General features: G+C 35.8%; 1 protein-coding gene across 5 annotated transcripts in view; it reads left to right on the forward strand.

The window, feature by feature from the left end:
• The window catches only part of DNAJC10 (DnaJ heat shock protein family (Hsp40) member C10), a 78,208-nt gene that overhangs the window by 22,319 nt on the left and 38,794 nt on the right, over positions 1–17,095 (forward strand). For 2 of the 5 annotated variants that reach the window (NM_018981.4, NM_001271581.3), the window contains 6 exons: positions 1,724–1,813; positions 2,668–2,781; positions 5,023–5,137; positions 13,083–13,210; positions 13,497–13,613; positions 16,428–16,529. In NM_018981.4, the coding sequence (NP_061854.1) occupies positions 1,724–1,813; positions 2,668–2,781; positions 5,023–5,137; positions 13,083–13,210; positions 13,497–13,613; positions 16,428–16,529 (666 nt within the window). Of the gene's footprint in view, positions 1–969; positions 1,814–2,667; positions 2,782–5,022; positions 5,138–13,082; positions 13,211–13,496; positions 13,614–13,973; positions 14,049–16,127; positions 16,231–16,427; positions 16,530–17,095 lie in introns of all 5 variants that reach the window. The other 3 variants (NR_073366.2, NR_073367.2, NR_073365.2) reach the window with 3 other exon arrangements.

Below are 17,095 nucleotides of genomic sequence, written 5' to 3' on the forward strand. Positions count from 1 at the left end.
TGTCGCCCAGGCTGGAGTGCAGTGGTGCGATCTCCACTCACTGCAAGCTCCACCTCCCGGGTTCACACCATTCTCCTGCCTCAGCCTCCCGAGTAGCTGGGACTACAGGTGCACGCCGCCACACCCAGCTAATTTTTTGTATTTTTGGTAGAGACGGGGTTTCACCGTGTTAGCCAGGATGGTCTCGATCTCCTGACCTTGTGATCTGCCGGCCTCGGCCTCCCAAAGTGTTGGGATTACAGGCGTGAGCCACCGCACCTGGCCGCATTCAGGTTTTAAAAAATATAAAACAGTATGCCAGCTAAATATATCTGGTAGGTGGAATTCAGAGGCTAGATAAGACAGCAGTCCTTTATAGGTGTAACTAACAAATTCTCCTCTAACAGAAACAGGTTTATAATGAGATTCTAGTAGATTAAGCACTGCAAGTTTATATAGGCTGTGTAATAGGCATTTTAGTAAAAGTCTTCATAGTGAATAGGACTAAAGTGAATAAGATGTAGAACTGAGGCGTGAAAGATTTGTTATGGCATTTTAAGCTCTTTGATAGCAGGAACTATTTCATATAGACCTCTAAGAATGTTTATGATATATATATATATATAGTATATATCATATATATTTATATATATTTATATATATAATATCTCATATATATTTATATATATATATATCTCATATATATATATTCAGTTTTAAGAAAAGAATCTTAGGGAAAAAACCTGAATTTTTATTCTTATGTTGTACCTATTATTTTTAGCCATATGTTTGTTCTCATGTCTAGCATGATTAAACTGTGGATTCCATGATTGTTCGTACAAGTTTTTAGTGAATTTTAGATCTTTCAAGTAATACTTAAACTGTTAAACATAGATGGTTCATAATTAAAGACATATATTAAACTCTGTTTTGTCAACTTTCATATACATTTTCTTGATGTAACCATTGCTGCATTCTTTATAATAACAGCTGCTTCATTGAGAGAATCAGACCAGCAGAGAGAGAGAGTTATATGACAAAATATGCTGAGGATAAAATATTGACAAATAAAGAAGATTTGTTAGAAGGGCCTTTTATACTCGTTTGTGTTTTAAATAAGAGACTCGGGCCGAAAACAAGTTTAAGATAAGATCTGTATCATTGTATTTTACTCTAAAAACTCCTAAGTGGTTTGGTTTTTAGATGAAAACCTCTATAATGAGCAAAAGTCCATTCCAATTTTCCACTTCTAAGTTCCTCTTAATTAATCTTAATTATTGGTTGGGGAATGAAGTGTCTTTGATAGTCTATTATTCTTCCTTCTAGTGTTATAAAAATTCTTAAGTGAATGTGTAAAACATTGGCATTCTGTAAAACATGATTAGCATTAAAATTAAGCTAAAGATAATGTGGTTTTTCTTGATGATTGGGAGGTCACTCAGGATTTTTCTGAGCATTTTTATAGAATACACATCATAGTTAATTAAAAATTCCAGTTAATGCAACATCTTATAATGGAATTTATTGTATATCACTATTTAAGAAACAGCTTAGTTATATAATATTTTTGATAATTGCCAAAATACACTTTTTTTGAAAAAAGACATTTGGAATTGTTTGAAAAACTATTTACCTTCTATAATCATTTTCCTAAAAATACTACATTGGAAATTGAAAAAACAAAAGATATCAAATATAATGAATATTTATTCAAAAAGATTACAATGTGATTTTCTTTTTCTAGTTTCTCAACTCATTGGATGCTAAAGAAATATATTTGGAAGTAATACATAATCTTCCAGATTTTGAACTACTTTCGGCAAACACACTAGAGGTAATGTTTTTATTAATAATGATAAGTAGCAATGAATGTTCGTAACATTTCAGGTCTTAACATTTTAAAATTAGCATTTGTTTTATTCATCTCTAGAGAGAATTGAAAGTAGCAGTTTCAAAGGATTATATATTAGTCAATTGTAGGTTAAATTCTAATTGGATATCTGGTGTTGCTAATTCAGGATGGATCTGTAGTTCTGGAAAACCTACTCAGTCCTGAAGGTGGGCTTCAAAAGGAACATCAGAAAAGGCAGAATTTTAATCAGAGCAACTTTGGGTCTGATTCATAACTTTTTGTTCTTGCTTACAGAACGGATTATATTGATTACTAAGAAGAAGTATTCAGTTTATGGATAGAATGCTGAGAAATATTGCTTGTGGTAGAATCAGTTTTTTTTCCTATTAGGTTGGTGCAAAAGTAATTGCAGTTTTTGCCATTTGAAAGTAGTGGCAAAAACCACAGTTACTTTTGCACAAAACCAAATACTTCCTAACCACAGATCTTTTGAAGTCTGTATCACTACGAGATCTTATGTGCTAAGCCTGAAAAAGCTGACAACTTTGCCACCCAACTTTTTAGCTATATGCTGTTAAAATCATGTATTTGTTTTTGGCAGTCATCTACTTTAAGATTTTATAATTTAGTGACTAACCCTCCTGTAATATTTGTTGATTTTACATAGCATTATTCTAAGTAAACTACAAAATAAGAGAATGAGTGGGTCCGAATTTTAGACAGTATTTTGAAATAATGGGTAGGGGAGCTAAAACTAACTTCAAGTCATAGAAATGAAGATTAGAACCCTTAGAATTTCCCATCTCTGACATTTTGTTTTCTTTATCACTTTTAAGGATCGTTTGGCTCATCATCGGTGGCTGTTATTTTTTCATTTTGGAAAAAATGAAAATTCAAATGATCCTGAGCTGAAAAAACTAAAAACTCTACTTAAAAATGATCATATTCAAGTAAGAAAAATGTATTCTGCCTAGCCTTCTGCTGGTGTACTTTGTTGTTAATTTAATGCATATAATTAAATTTTAAATAACATAAAAACTCTTATTTGAAATTATAAGAAGCCTATAAGTGCTTTTAGTCTTGGTTTGTGCTTGCTTTTCCTCTTTTTTATTAAAAGTTTATATGTAATCTGAAAGTGGTTAATTTTCACTTATTTTGGCATTTGATAAACCTGTATCATACAATTTTTCTGGAATGCATACTGTAGGAGGTTATCTTTCCATTTTTTAAATTCTTATTTCTTTATATAAGTAATTCTTGGTCGTTGTTTAAAAATCAGGACAATAAATAAGTACAAAAATAAAGCAATTATCTAAAAAAATCACCCATACTCTTAACATTGTTCATAACCCTGCTATGTATTTACTCTATATAACCATTTAAACATTTTGTGAGTGCCCATATGCATATGTAGGCATATGTATATGTGTGCACATGCATACATATTGTAATGGCCATTGTAATAGACATACACGTGTAAATTTATATGTCTGTGTTTTAATCAAAATGGATTCACTGTATGCTTTTTTTTTTAACTTCTGTCATACAACAATATCATAAACTTTTTCACAGACCTGTAAAAATGCATATATATTTATATGGATATAAAATCTCTATATCCATGTACACATGTATATCCTCCTTATTCCCTAAAGGCTACATAGTGGCTTACTATATGGTTATGCCATAATTGTTTAGGAAATCCTCTCTTACTGATTTTATGTTGTTTCCTTTATTTTTTATATCAAACGATGCAGAACTTGTCTTTAATATGGGAAATTTTCTTCTCTTTTCTTTTGAGACAGAGTCATTCTGTCACCCAGGCTGGAGTTCAGTGGCGTGCTCTTGACTCACTGCAACCTCAGCCTCATGGGTTCAAGTGATTCTGGGTTCCAGTGATTCCCTCCAGAGTAGCTGGGACTACAGGCGCATGCCACCAAGTCCGGCTAATTTTTGTACTTTTAACAGAGACTGGATTTCTCCATATTGGCCAAGCTGGCCTCGAACTCCTGACCTCAGGTGATCCACCCACCTCAGCCTCCCAAAGTGCTGGGATTACAGGCGTGAGCCACCACACCTGGCCACATGGGAAATTTTCAACTCAAGGTTATGTTTTCTTAAATGGTTTTTATTCTCATTACTAGAGTCCTCCAGAAAGTTTTATCAGTTTATAATCTCACTGACAGCACGTGAGTGGCCATTTCTCCACGCTGTGCCCACCATGGTACTATCGTTCTTTATAATCTTCACAATTCCGATAGGCCACAAGTGATATGTTAACAATATTCACTTTCATTTAATTGCTTTCAACTGGTCGGGGAAAAATACTTTTTCATGATTATTAACAAATCATAATTGTTCTCTAGTTAATTTTCTCTTTATATCTGTGGCCCATTTTCTTTTTTCTGATGGGATGTTTGTCCAGCTTTTTCTTTGTTTTTTTTTCTTTTTTTTTAATGCAGTGTAGTGTCACTCTGTCAGCCAGGCTGGAGTGCAGTGGTGCGATCTCGGCTCACTGCAACCTCCGCCTCCTGGATTCAAGCAGTTCTGCTGCCTCAGCCTCCCAAGTAGCTGGGACTACAGGTGCAAGCCACCATGCCTGGCTAATTTTTGTATTTTTAGTAGAGACGTGGTTTCACCCTATTGGTCAGGCTGATCTCAAACTCCTGACCTCAGGCAATTCAGCTACCTCAGCCTCCCCAAGTGCTGGGATTATAGGCATGAGCCAATGCGCCTGGCCCTTCTTGTTTCTTAATGGATCTTCTCTCTTAAATGCCACAGATTTGTTCCTGGTTTATATTTGGCTGTTGTGCTTACGCTCTTCTTTTTCACACTCTTTGAAAACATCACTTTTTTCTTCATTATTTCTGCTTCTGAAAGTGATCTCTCCTCTATCTCAAGATTATATAAACATTCTCTACATCTTCAAAAAGTAGGTTTCTGGAATAACTTCATATTTTCTTGGGAATTCCTCAGGTTTTTTTTAACTCTCTAGGAAGCATTTTTTTAACTAAATTGAGTCTTAATATTAAATGTAAATGAATTATTTCTGTCTCTTATTTTCGTAGCCTATTAGCTTCTGTTTAAAAACTGTGTCATTAGGGCAGTGCCATTTTTGGATTATCATGAATATTTACAAATCAAATGGGTAAGACAGTGTTTTTATCAAATTTGACCTTTTTCTCCTTTAGGTTGGCAGGTTTGACTGTTCCTCTGCACCAGACATCTGTAGTAATCTGTATGTTTTTCAGCCGTCTCTAGCAGTATTTAAAGGACAAGGAACCAAAGAATATGAAATTCATCATGGTAAGAATGGAAAAAAATGATAAAAAAAAACTTAGCTTCATTTTCAAATAGAAGTTTTCTAATTGTGCTTTTTAAACTTATTTTTTACGGACATGCTTATTGTAAATAACTTTTCTCAGTAAATATGAGGACAGATATTTTGAATTATATGTAGTCACTTTATTCTCTTTACCCTTCTTTTTAACATGAATGCCTTTTCTCTATTCAGTATTTTGATCAGGATTTCTGGTGATAAGTCAAGCTAGTGAGAAATTTAAGTCCTGCTTGTTTGCAAAAGTAAGCAACACCTGCAGTTTATATTCCAGCTTGCCATGTGTATCATCTCAGCCATTATAGGCAATTTCCAAACATTCTTTTGGATGTTTCTCCCACTAGACTTCCAGACTTCTTCATTAACTGCCTTGTTATCTTTCTTGCATTTATAATTTTATTTCAGCTTATTTGGGACTTTAGCTCTGCATTCATGTGAGTGCAGTCTCAATTCCAAGAGTTTGGACTACAGCAGAGTCCTTGTCCTGAAAGAGGTCAAATATAGCAAAAGAAACACACAGACTACCAACTACCATGCAGTTAAGTGAACAACAGATACCGATGAAATGCCCATTAGCACCTAGCACTGCTTTCAATGTTGAGGATATAAATTTGTAAGACATGAACTCCTTCAAGAAGTTTAAAATAGTGTAGCGGGGAACAGAGGAGGGAGATCCATAAGAAAACAAAAAATACTTTAATGGTCATTGTATATTAATGACAACAAGATCAAATAGATTTCTGCATAGTAGAGGTCAAGAAGTGGTATTTGAATTGAGCATAAAGTGCTCAATTTCCCCAAGCAACTATAGGGGAAAAGAAGTGAGACCTCTAGGCTGGAGGAACTTTGGGGTAAGATAACCCTCACAGTAACTACTGTTTATTCACTGCTGTCTCCAAGTCAGACATTCTGCCAGAAGCCTTGCATACGTGATTCATTTTTATCTTTACAACAGCCCAGTGAAGGAGAAAATGGAGACTCAGAAAGGTTAAGTAACTTGCCCTATGACAGACATACTAGAAACTAGCCATGGTAGATTTTGAATCCAAATTTGTCTGACTCCAAAACCTAGGCTAATAGCCGTTAAACTATACCATGCACTAAAAGTGCTAGAAATGACTAAGTTTTAATAATGGAATAATACTCTTTTTTATCTCTGAAATAGTTCTCAGACCCCCCCTCTTCTCTTCTCTGTGCTTACTGCTTTGTTTCAGGCCCATCATCGCCTTCATCTATGATAGTATTATCCTCTGGGAGGATTGCTTATCTCCTAGCCTTTCTTCCTTAAAATCAATTCCTTGTTGTGTTTGCAGTTATTACCCATTCTTGTGTCACTTTTCTGCCTTGACTTACCTTATTTCTTATAGCATAAGCGTCAGATTCCTTAGCATAGAAGCAATAATCTCATCTGTTTTGCTCACTGCTCTATCTCCAGCACCTAGAATGGTGTCTGGCACATAGTAAGAACTCAGGAAATGTTTGTTAAGTGGATAGGGTATGTTCACAGTCTGGCTCTGCCAGTTTTTCCAGTCTTAATTCCCACTGCTGCCCCTCCAGATAGTCTTAGCTCCAGCTACCTTTGGATGTTTGTGAATGCCATGTTCTTTCACTCCTCTGTGCCTTCACACGATTTTTCCTCCTGCATTATAATCACTCCTTCCTGTTCCACAGAATATTTAGCAAACTCCAAATTGCCTTTCAAAACTTAAAGCAGCTTCTTCCCTGGAAAATATATTATGAATCTCCAAGCACTTCCTTTTATGTGCTCTTACTAACTTTGTAATAGAACTTACATTGTTTCTTTGGATTAAAATAGTTATTGAGCATCTGCATGTACCAGGTACAGTACTGAGGAATAGGAAAAAATGTGAACTATACTTAGTAATCTCTAATACAAAGAACATTGTGGACTATTAGGGAAAACAGACAAGTAAACTAACAAATTTTTATTTTTTTTTTTTATGGACAAGTTTTTTTTTTATTTGAATTTTTTTTTAATTTATTATTATTATACTTCAAGTTTTAGGGTACATGTGCACAATGTGCAGGTTAATTACATATGTATACATGTGCCATGCTGGTGCGCTGCACCCACTAACTCGTCATCGAGCATTAGGTATATCTCCCCATGCTATGTCTCCCCACTCCCCCCACCCCACAACAGTACCCAGAGTGTGATATTCCCTTCCTGTGTCCATGTGTTCTCATTGTTCAATTCCCACCTATGAGTGAGAACATGCAGTGTTTGGTTTTTTGTCTTTGCGATAGTTTACTGAGAATGATGATTTCCAGTTTCATCCATGTCCCTACAAAGGACATGAACTCATCCTTTTTTATGGCTGCATAGTATTCCATGGTGTATATGTGCCCATTTTCTTAATCCAGTCTATCATTGTTGGACATTTGGGTTGGTTCCAAGTCTTTGCTATTGTGAATAATGCCGCAATAAACATACGTGTGCATGTGTCTTTGTAGCAGCATGATTTATAATCCTTTGGGTATATACCCAGTAATGGGATGGCTGGGTCAAATGGTATTTCCAGTTCTAGATCCCTGAGGATCTAGACTGACTTCTACAATGGTTGAACTAGTTTACAGTCCCACCAACAGTGTAAAAGTGTTCCTATTTCTCCACATCCTCTCCAGCACCTGTTGTTTTCTGACTTTTTAATGATTGCCATTCAAACTGGTGTGAGATGGTATCTCATTGTCATTTTGATTTGCATTTCTCTGATGGCCAGTGATGGTGAGCATTTTTTCATTTGTTTTTTGGCTGCATAAATGTCTTCTTTTGAGAAGTGTCTGTTCATGTCCTTCGCCCACTTTTTGATGGGGTTGTTTTTTTCTTGTAAATTTGTGTGAGTTCATTGTAGATTCTGCATATTAGCCCTTTCTCAGATGAGTAGGTTGCGAAAATTTTCTGCCATTCTTTAGGTTGCCTGTTCACTCTGATGGTACTTTCTTTTGCTGTGCAGAAGCTCTTTAGTTTAATTAGATCCCATTTGTCAATTTTGGCTTTTGTTGCCATTGCTTTTGTTGTTTTAGACATGAAGTCCTTTCCCATGCCTGTGTCCTGAATGGTAATGCCTAGGTTTTCTTCTAGGGTTTTTATGGTTTTAGGTCTAATGTTTAAGTCTTTAATCCATCTTGAATTAATTTTTGTATAAGGTGTAAGGAAGGGATCCAGTTTCAGCTTTCTACATATGGCTAGCCAGTTTTCCCAGCACCATTTATTAAATAGGGAATCCTTTCCCCATTGCTTGTTTTTCTCAGGTTTGTCAAAGATCAGATAGTTGTATATATGCGGCGTTATTTCTGAGGGCTGTGTTCTGTTCCATTGATCTATATCTCTGTTTTGGTACCAGTACCATGCTGTTTTGGTTACTGTAGCCTTGTAGTATAGTTTGAAGTCAGGTAGTGTGATGCCTCCAGCTTTGTTCTTTTGGCTTAGGATTGACTTGGCAATGCGGGCTCTTTTTTGGTTCCATATGAACTTTAAAGTAGTTTTTTCCAATTCTGTGAAGAAAGGCATTGGTAGCTTGATGGGGATGGCATTGAATCTGTAAATTACCTTGGGCAGTATGGCCATTGTCACAATATTGAGTCTTCCTACCCATGAGCATGGAATGTTCTTCCATTTGTTTGTATCCTCTTTTATTTCCTTGAGCAGTGGTTTGTAGTTCTCCTTGAAGAGGTCCTTCACATCCCTTGTAAGTTGGATTCCTAGGTATTTTATTCTCTTTGTAGCAATTGTGAATGGGAGTTCACTCATGATTTGGCTCTGTTTGTCTGTTGTTGGTGTATAAGAATGCTTGTGATTTTTGCACATTGATTTTGTATCCTGAGACTTTGCTGAAGTTGTTTATCAGCTTAAGGAGATTTTGGGCTGAGACAATGTGGTTTTCTAGATATACAATCATGTCGTCTGCAAACAGGGACAATTTGACTTCCTCTTTTCCTAATTGAATACCCTTTATTTCCTTCTCCTGCCTAATTGCCCTGGCCAGAACTTCCAACACTATGTTGAATAGGAGTGGTGAGAGAGGGCATCCCTGTCTTGTGCCAGTTTTCAAAGGGAATGCTTCCAGTTTTTGCCCATTCAGTATGATATTGGCTGTGGGTTTGTCATAGATAGCTCTTATTATTTTGAGATATGTCCCATCAATACCTAATTTATGGAGAGTTTTTAGCATGAAGGGTTGTTGAATTTTGTCAAAGGCCTTTTCTGCATCTATTGAGATAATCATGTGGTTTTTGTCTTTGGTTCTGTTTATATGCTGGATTACATTTATTGATTTGCGTATATTGAACCAGCCTTGCATCCCAGGGATGAAGCCCACTTGATCATGGTGGATAAGCTTTTTGATGTGCTGCTGGATTCAGTTTGCCAGTATTTTATTGAGGATTTTTGCATCAATGTTCATCAAGGATATTGGTCTAAAATTCTCTTTTTTGGTTGTGTCTCTGCCCAGCTTTGGTATCAGGATGATGCTGGCCTCATAAAATGAGTTAGGGAGGATTCCCTCTTTTTCTATTGATTGGAATAGTTTCAGAAGGAATGGTACCACTTCCTCCTTGTACCTGTGGTAGAATTCGGCTGTGAATCCATCTGGTCCTGGACTCTTTTTGTTTGGTAAGCTATTGATTATTGCCACAATTTCAGCTCCTGTTATTGGTCTATTCAGAGATTCAACTTCTTCCTGGTTTAGTCTTGGGATAGTGTATGAGTCGAGGAACTTATCCATTTCTTCTAGATTTTCTAGTTTATTTGCGTAGAGGTGTTTGTAGTATTCTCTGATGGTAGTTTGTATTTCTGTGGGATTGGTGGTGATATCCCCTTTATCATTTTTTATTGCATCTATTTGATTCTTCTCTCTTTTTTTCCTTATTAGTCTTGCTAGCGGTCTATCAGTTTTGTTGATCCTTTCAAAAAACCAGCTCCTCTTTCTGCTAGCTTTTGAATGTGTTTGCTCTTGCTTTTCTAGTTCTGTTAATTGTGATGTTAGGGTGTCAATTTTGGATCTTTCCTGCTTTCTCTTGTGGGCATTTAGTGCTATAAATTTCCCTCTACGCACTGCTTTGAATGCGTCCCAGAGATTGTGGTATGTTGTGTCTTTGTTCTCGTTGGTTTCAAAGAACATCTTTATTTCTGCCTTCATTTTGTTATGTACCCAGTAGTCATTCAGGAGCAGGTTGTTCAGTTTCCATGTAGTTGAGCGGTTTTGAGTGAGATTCTTAATCCTGAGTTCTAGTTTGATTGCACTGTGGTCTGAGAGATAGTTTGTTATAATTTCTATTCTTTTACATTTGCTGAGGAGAGCTTTACTTCCAAGGGTGTGGCCAATTTTGGAATAGGTGTGGTGCAGTGCTGAAAAAAATGTATATTCTGTTGATTTGGGGTGGAGAGTTCTGTAGATGTCTATTAGGTCTGCTTGGTGCAGAGCTGAGTTTAATTCCTGGGTATCCTTGTTGACTTTCTGTCTCGTTGATCTGTCTAATGTTGACAGTGGGGTGTTAAAGTCTCCCATTATTAATGTGTGGGAGTCTAAGTCTCTTTGTAGGTCACTCAGGACTTGCTTTATGAATCTGGGTGCTCCTGTATTGGGTGCATATATATTTAGGATAGTTAGCTCTTCTTGTTGAATTGATCCCTTTACCATTAGGTAATGGCCTTCTTTGTCTCTTTTGATCTTTGTTGGTTTAAAGTCTGTTTTATCAGAGACTAGGATTGCAACCCCTGCCTTTTTTTGTTTTCCATTTGCTTGGTAGATCTTCCTCCATCCTTTTATTTTGAGCCTATGTGTGTCTCTGCACATGAGATGGGTTTCCTGAATACAGCAGACTGATGGGTCTTGACTCTTTATCCAATTTGCCAGTCTGTGTCTTTTAATTGGAGCATTTAGTCCATTTACATTTAAAGTTAATATTGTTATGTGTGAATTTGATTTTATGGACAAGTTTTTAAAAGTGTTTGCAGTGGAGAGTATTTATTGTCTATTGCTTAGTAGTAAATTACCCCAAAACTCAGTGGTTTAAAACAAACATGTATTAATTCACAGTTTTTCGTGGTCAGGAATCTGAGAAAAATTTAGCTGGGTAGTTCCAGACACGGATTTTCTCATGAGGTTGCATTCAAAATATGCAAGGGCTGTGGTCATCTGAAGTCTAGACTGGCTACAGGGTCTGGTTCCAAGCTTACTTTTGTGATTGTCAGGAGGCCTAAGTTCCTCACTGGCTGTTGGCAGAGGCCTCAGTTCCTCATCATGTGGGCCTTTGTAGGGCTGCTCTCAATATGGTAGCTAGCTTCTGTGATAGTAACAGAGATGAAGAGAAGTAGATTTGTAAAAGACCAAGAATGCAAAGTCAGTATTACTTGGTGACTGATGAGATGTGTGGGAGGTCAAGAGAGAGAGAGAGAGTCAAGAATAATACCTATGTTTCTGACTTGACGAAATTGCAGTTGAGTGATTGTACCGTTCAATGTAAGTGGACTGTGGTAGCAATGTAGAAAATGGATTAGTTAAGGAAGACTGGGTGAAGAAACACTAGCTAGGTTATTGCAGAAGGCCAGACTGAGTTCAGGCAGTAGCAATGGGTTGGAAATGGTAAGAGATGGAATGGATAGAATTATTATGATACAGGGCAGAGAAAGAAGTCAAGGCTCACTCTGGGGAATTATATTTAGGCACCTAGTGGATAATTATGTTATTGCCAAGATAAGGTTGGTGAGAAAAGGAGCAGGTTTGGAGGAAAATAACACAGCCTCAATTTGAATATATTGCCATGTGTCAACGACAGAGACGTCTTCTGAGAAATGTGTCATTAGGAGATTTCATCCTTGTACAAACATCAGAGAGTGTACTTAAAAAAAACTAGATGGTATAGTCCACTACACATCTAGGCTATACAGTATAGCCTATTGCTCTTAGGCTACATCTGTACAATGTGTTACAATGTACTGAATACCATAAGCAACTGTAACACAGCGGTAAGAGTTTGTGTATCTAAATGTATCTAAACATAGAAAAGGGGTAATGTGTTGCACTACAGAGTTACAACAGCCACACCATCACTGAGCCATAGGAATTTTTCAGCTCCATTATAATCTTATGGGACCCCATCATATATGTGGTCCACCATTGCCTGAAATGTCATTATGCAGGACTGTATTGTGTTTGACGTGTTTACGTGATATCCAAGTACAGTTTTTCACTGGGCAGTTGGTAATATGGGTTTTGAATTCATAAGAGAAGTCTAGGTTGTAGAAAATGATTTAGGAGTTAGGCCATAGTAATCACTGAAGTAAGCATAATTAATTTAAAGAACCCTATAAAAAAGTCATTATTCTACCTCTGAAGATGAGGGAACATTTCAAAGAGATTTTGACTTTTTTTTTTTTTTTTTTTTTTTTTGAAATGGAGTCTCACTCTCACCAGGCTGGAGTGCAGTGTCGAGATCACTGCTCACTGCAACCTCCACCTCCCAGGTTCAAGCAGTTCTCCTGCCTCAGCCTCCTGAGTAGCTGGGACTACACACGTGGCCACCATGCCCAGCTAATTTTTTGTATTTTTAGTAGAGACGGGGGTTTCACCATGTTGGCCAGGATGGTCTCGATCTCTTGACCTCGTGATCTGCCCACCTCGGCCTCTCAAAGTGCTAGGATTACAGGCGTGAGCCACTGCACCTGGCCAATTTTGACATTTTTAACTAGTCCAGGAAACAGAAGAGTGTGCAAGAAAAGGGTGCTCCTATCAGAGCTAAGCCCTGTATAGTATACAGCACACTAAAACCTCACCAAAATCAATTTGTTCATAATTTATCTTCTTTAGTATTCTGAGTATTAAAACTTTGAAATGTCTCTGTGCATACAAAAAGCAGAATTTGGATTTGAATTTCTCTCATTCACTTTGAAAGGAAAGAAGATTCTATATGATATACTTGCCTTTGCCAAAGAAAGTGTGAATTCTCATGTTACCACGCTTGGACCTCAAAATTTTCCTGCCAATGACAAAGAACCATGGCTTGTTGATTTCTTTGCCCCCGTAAGTTATTTTTATCTGTCAGATTCTAACATTGTCAGATCTTCTCCTGTTATGGCAAAAAGACATTTTCTAGATAACTTTGAATCATTAGTACAAAAACTGTGTCATTCCATTATGGCCACTAATGCATATTGCTTTTAAATGAGTGCTAATGTAATTACTCCTCCAGGGAAGGTTTGCCGCTAAGTACAGTTTGTCTTACTTAGCATATTACTTGTTGCAGAAATGATGGGGGGGTTTTTTGTGTCATTTGGCTCGGTGCTTATGAATATTTTTTCTTTCCTAGTGGTGTCCACCATGTCGAGCTTTACTACCAGAGTTACGAAGAGCATCAAATCTTCTTTATGGTCAGCTTAAGTTTGGTACACTAGATTGTACAGTTCATGAGGGACTCTGTAACATGGTAAGGCAAAGTATCAAAAATTATTCTAATTAATTTTATAAAATGAAGACCTTTTGGCTGTTTATTATTAAAACATTAAAATAACTTAGAAATAATACATCTTCTATTTAGAGTAGTAACAAATTATTTAAACAAAATAATATTTTTAGAAAGTGGTATCAAATATGATTGGATTAAACCATGCATAGCTAATCAATGCATTGAATGTAAATAAGGTCTTATTTATCAAACTCAGGCAACTATTTTCATTAACTTCATAAAATGCTTATATGATTTTCCAATTATTGAAGATTGTTATATTTCTTTAATATTTTTGACATTTTATAATTTTTTTCCTTTGGCTTTCTTCATACTTCTAAGTATATTTGCTGGAAAGAAGTTAAAACAATGAACAAGCCTTTTGAAATCTTTGTTTAAATGAAATTATTTTCTCAGGTAAATATTCACTCCTCAGTTGCAGGAAGAACTAAAAATTATATACCGTAGAATGAAAGTACGTAATATCACGTATAAAATACTTTGGGCAAAAAAAAAAAAAAAATCAATCCTATAGTAGATCTATCTCCAGATCTATTAGTCTTTAGGAAATTGAATGACAGGGGAGCATGTTAAGTGACACCATGGATATGAAATCTGCACTTCCCAGTATGGGAGAACTTTACAGGACAAATACCCAGTATATACATTGTATATAGTGGAGGAGAGATTAAAAAGACTTAAAAGACTATCAGTCAAATACAACATTTAGACTTTGTTTGGATGCAGTTTAAACAAACCAAGTGCAAAGAAAGAGATAATTGGGGAAATGTGAACACTGACAAGATATCTGATGATTTCAGGTAATTATTGTTAGTTTTTGACAACAAAAATGATACTTTGGTTATATGGAGGGGAGTCCTTATATTTTAAATATACTGAAATATTTGTGGATGAAATTATAGATCATCTGAAATTTGCTTTAAAATGATCTTGGGAGTAGACTAGAAAGGGAGTATAAGTGAAGTAAAAGTAGCCATGAGTCAGTGATTATTGTAGCTATATGAATACGCGAGAGTTTGTTGCTCTCTACTTTTGTGAATGTTCTAAATAACTCATAAAAAATAAAATGTTTTTAAAGAACATAGATGGAGAAAAGATAAAGGGAAAAAAGAAATGGGAAGAGGAAGGAAAACAAAAGAAAGCCATACATTTTTAGAACATCACAGAAGTTTAAGCCAGCAGCAATGGCACATGCCTGTAGAAATTTCATTAAAATACATTTTTATAAAAGGAAATAAACAAGGCCTTTGGTTTTGAATGTTTTCTCTGTAACTTTGAAAGAAATGCCAACCAAAGATACAAAATTGATGTGATAAACAATAATTATCTTAATTTTAATTTCTTTAGTTTAGTTTTTTTTTTTTTTTTTTTTTGAGACAGAGTCTTGCTCTGTTGTCCAGGCTGGAGTGCAGTGGTGCAATCTCAGCTCACTGCAAGCTCCACCCCCCGGGTTCATGCCATTCTCCTCCCTTAGCCTGCCGAGTAGGTGGGATTACAGGCACCCGCCACCACGTCCGGCTAACTTTTTGTATTTTTAGTAGAGATGGGGTTTTACAGTGTTAGCCAGGATGGTCTTGATCTCCTGACCTCGTGATCCTCCCACCTCGGCCTCCCAAAGTTCTGGGATTACAGGCATGAGCCACTGCGCCCAGCCAATTTCTTTAGTTTTTCTACTTTTCATCTTAGCTCATTAAACATATGTGAGTTCAGTGTAAGGATTTAAAACTATGATATCGATTTACCTGGAATAGAGGCCAAGATTCACTACTCACCAATTAGTTGCCACTCACCAATTGGTTGACTTTGACCAAGTTACTTAGCCTCTCAGTAACTTAGTTTCCTAATTTATACAGTGGGTTTTATCATTTTAGCAACTAAGTATAATTGTTGTGAAGAATAAATGAGAAACTACATGTTAAATGCTAAAATAATGCTCAACACATAGTTAAATTTTAGCTATAATTGCTTTGTTAATCAGTGAATTATTTGAATTTGCACACATTTTTCAAGACTAATATAAATGTTTCCATTGTTTTTTCAAAAATTATTTTTGAATCCTGGTCAAAGATTCCAGTTTGCTAATGAGTACTTAAAACTTTAAGAGTGCAAAGTTCAGCTACAGCAAATCCACAGACAAGGATCTCTTTATAACTTTTTGAAAAATAAAAATAAAAGCTTTAGAGAGAGGCTTCCTGGGCTGGTGCCCATTTTAATTCTGAGAAGGAAATTAAGCATTTCCTACTATAAAGGCTATCTTGAAGAAGAATAAAAAGGGATTACATTCATAGGGCATGATTCATAATTCTTTAACCTAAAATATAATCATGTACCCCCTAATTATTTGTGTCTTTATTCTTGCTGTTTTATTTCCTGATCATCATCTATTTCTAGAAAAAGTATTTATTATGGTTTAAAAAAAAGACTCAAGCTAGAGATATAGCCTGTTGTTTATAGCCTCTTCTTACCTTGGTTCAGGAGAGTAAAAAGGGACCATTCGTATAATTACCCATGCCGATTTCTCAATGTTTCAATGCCTATGGTTCTCATGGCGAATGGAGCAGCTATAAATAAGGATCAGGTATTCATCAGTATTTAGCAGTATTCATCACCATAAGTCCTTTGCTAAATTTGGTGAGACTAAAATTTTTGTCACCAGAAATTTAGAAATGGGTTTTTAAAATCTTGTTCTTGTTACTTAAAGGCAAACTTGTTATAAATTTGTAACAAATAGGTGAAATCTATAAAATCTTTAATTCATATTCTCCTTCCTATCAGTATAACATTCAGGCTTATCCAACAACAGTGGTATTCAACCAGTCCAACATTCATGAGTATGAAGGACATCACTCTGCTGAACAAATCTTGGAGTTCATAGAGGTATTTCAGATTATAGACTATGTGACTAGAAATTTGTCTGTTTCTATGTAAACCCTGTATGAATGTTTCATATTGTTTAATAGGATTTACTCTTTTCATGCCCAAACTATTTTCTTACAAAATGATTTTTAAAGAATTTTTCTAATGTTTTACTCTTCTTATATACTTGTCTGTAAACTCAAAGTAAATCTGTGTTTTATTTGTTACCTGGTATGTACAGTGCCTTATAAACAATGGACACAATTATTTATTGAACATATGCAATGTATTTTCACCTTGTCACCCCTTTGCACTGTTTTCTCTGAAAACAAGTGTCTGGCATCTACAGCATCTTTTTTTTTTTTTTTCTCAGTAACACTCTTGATAGAAATACTTACAGGGGACTCCTAGAAAAAAAAAAAGAAAATTTCTAGTTTATTATTATCCATTTGATGACCCTCCAACCCTGTCCTACTCACCTGTTCCTCCTCCTCTGACGTAATGTTTTGTCTTGTTTTCCCAGTGAAGCTAGCCTCTTCATCAGTATTACCTGACTGTTGTAGGCTGAAGCTTTGTTAAAATATCAT

This window comes from Homo sapiens, chromosome 2 (genome assembly GCF_000001405.40).
Source record: "Homo sapiens chromosome 2, GRCh38.p14 Primary Assembly".
Lineage (NCBI taxonomy): Eukaryota > Metazoa > Chordata > Mammalia > Primates > Hominidae > Homo > Homo sapiens.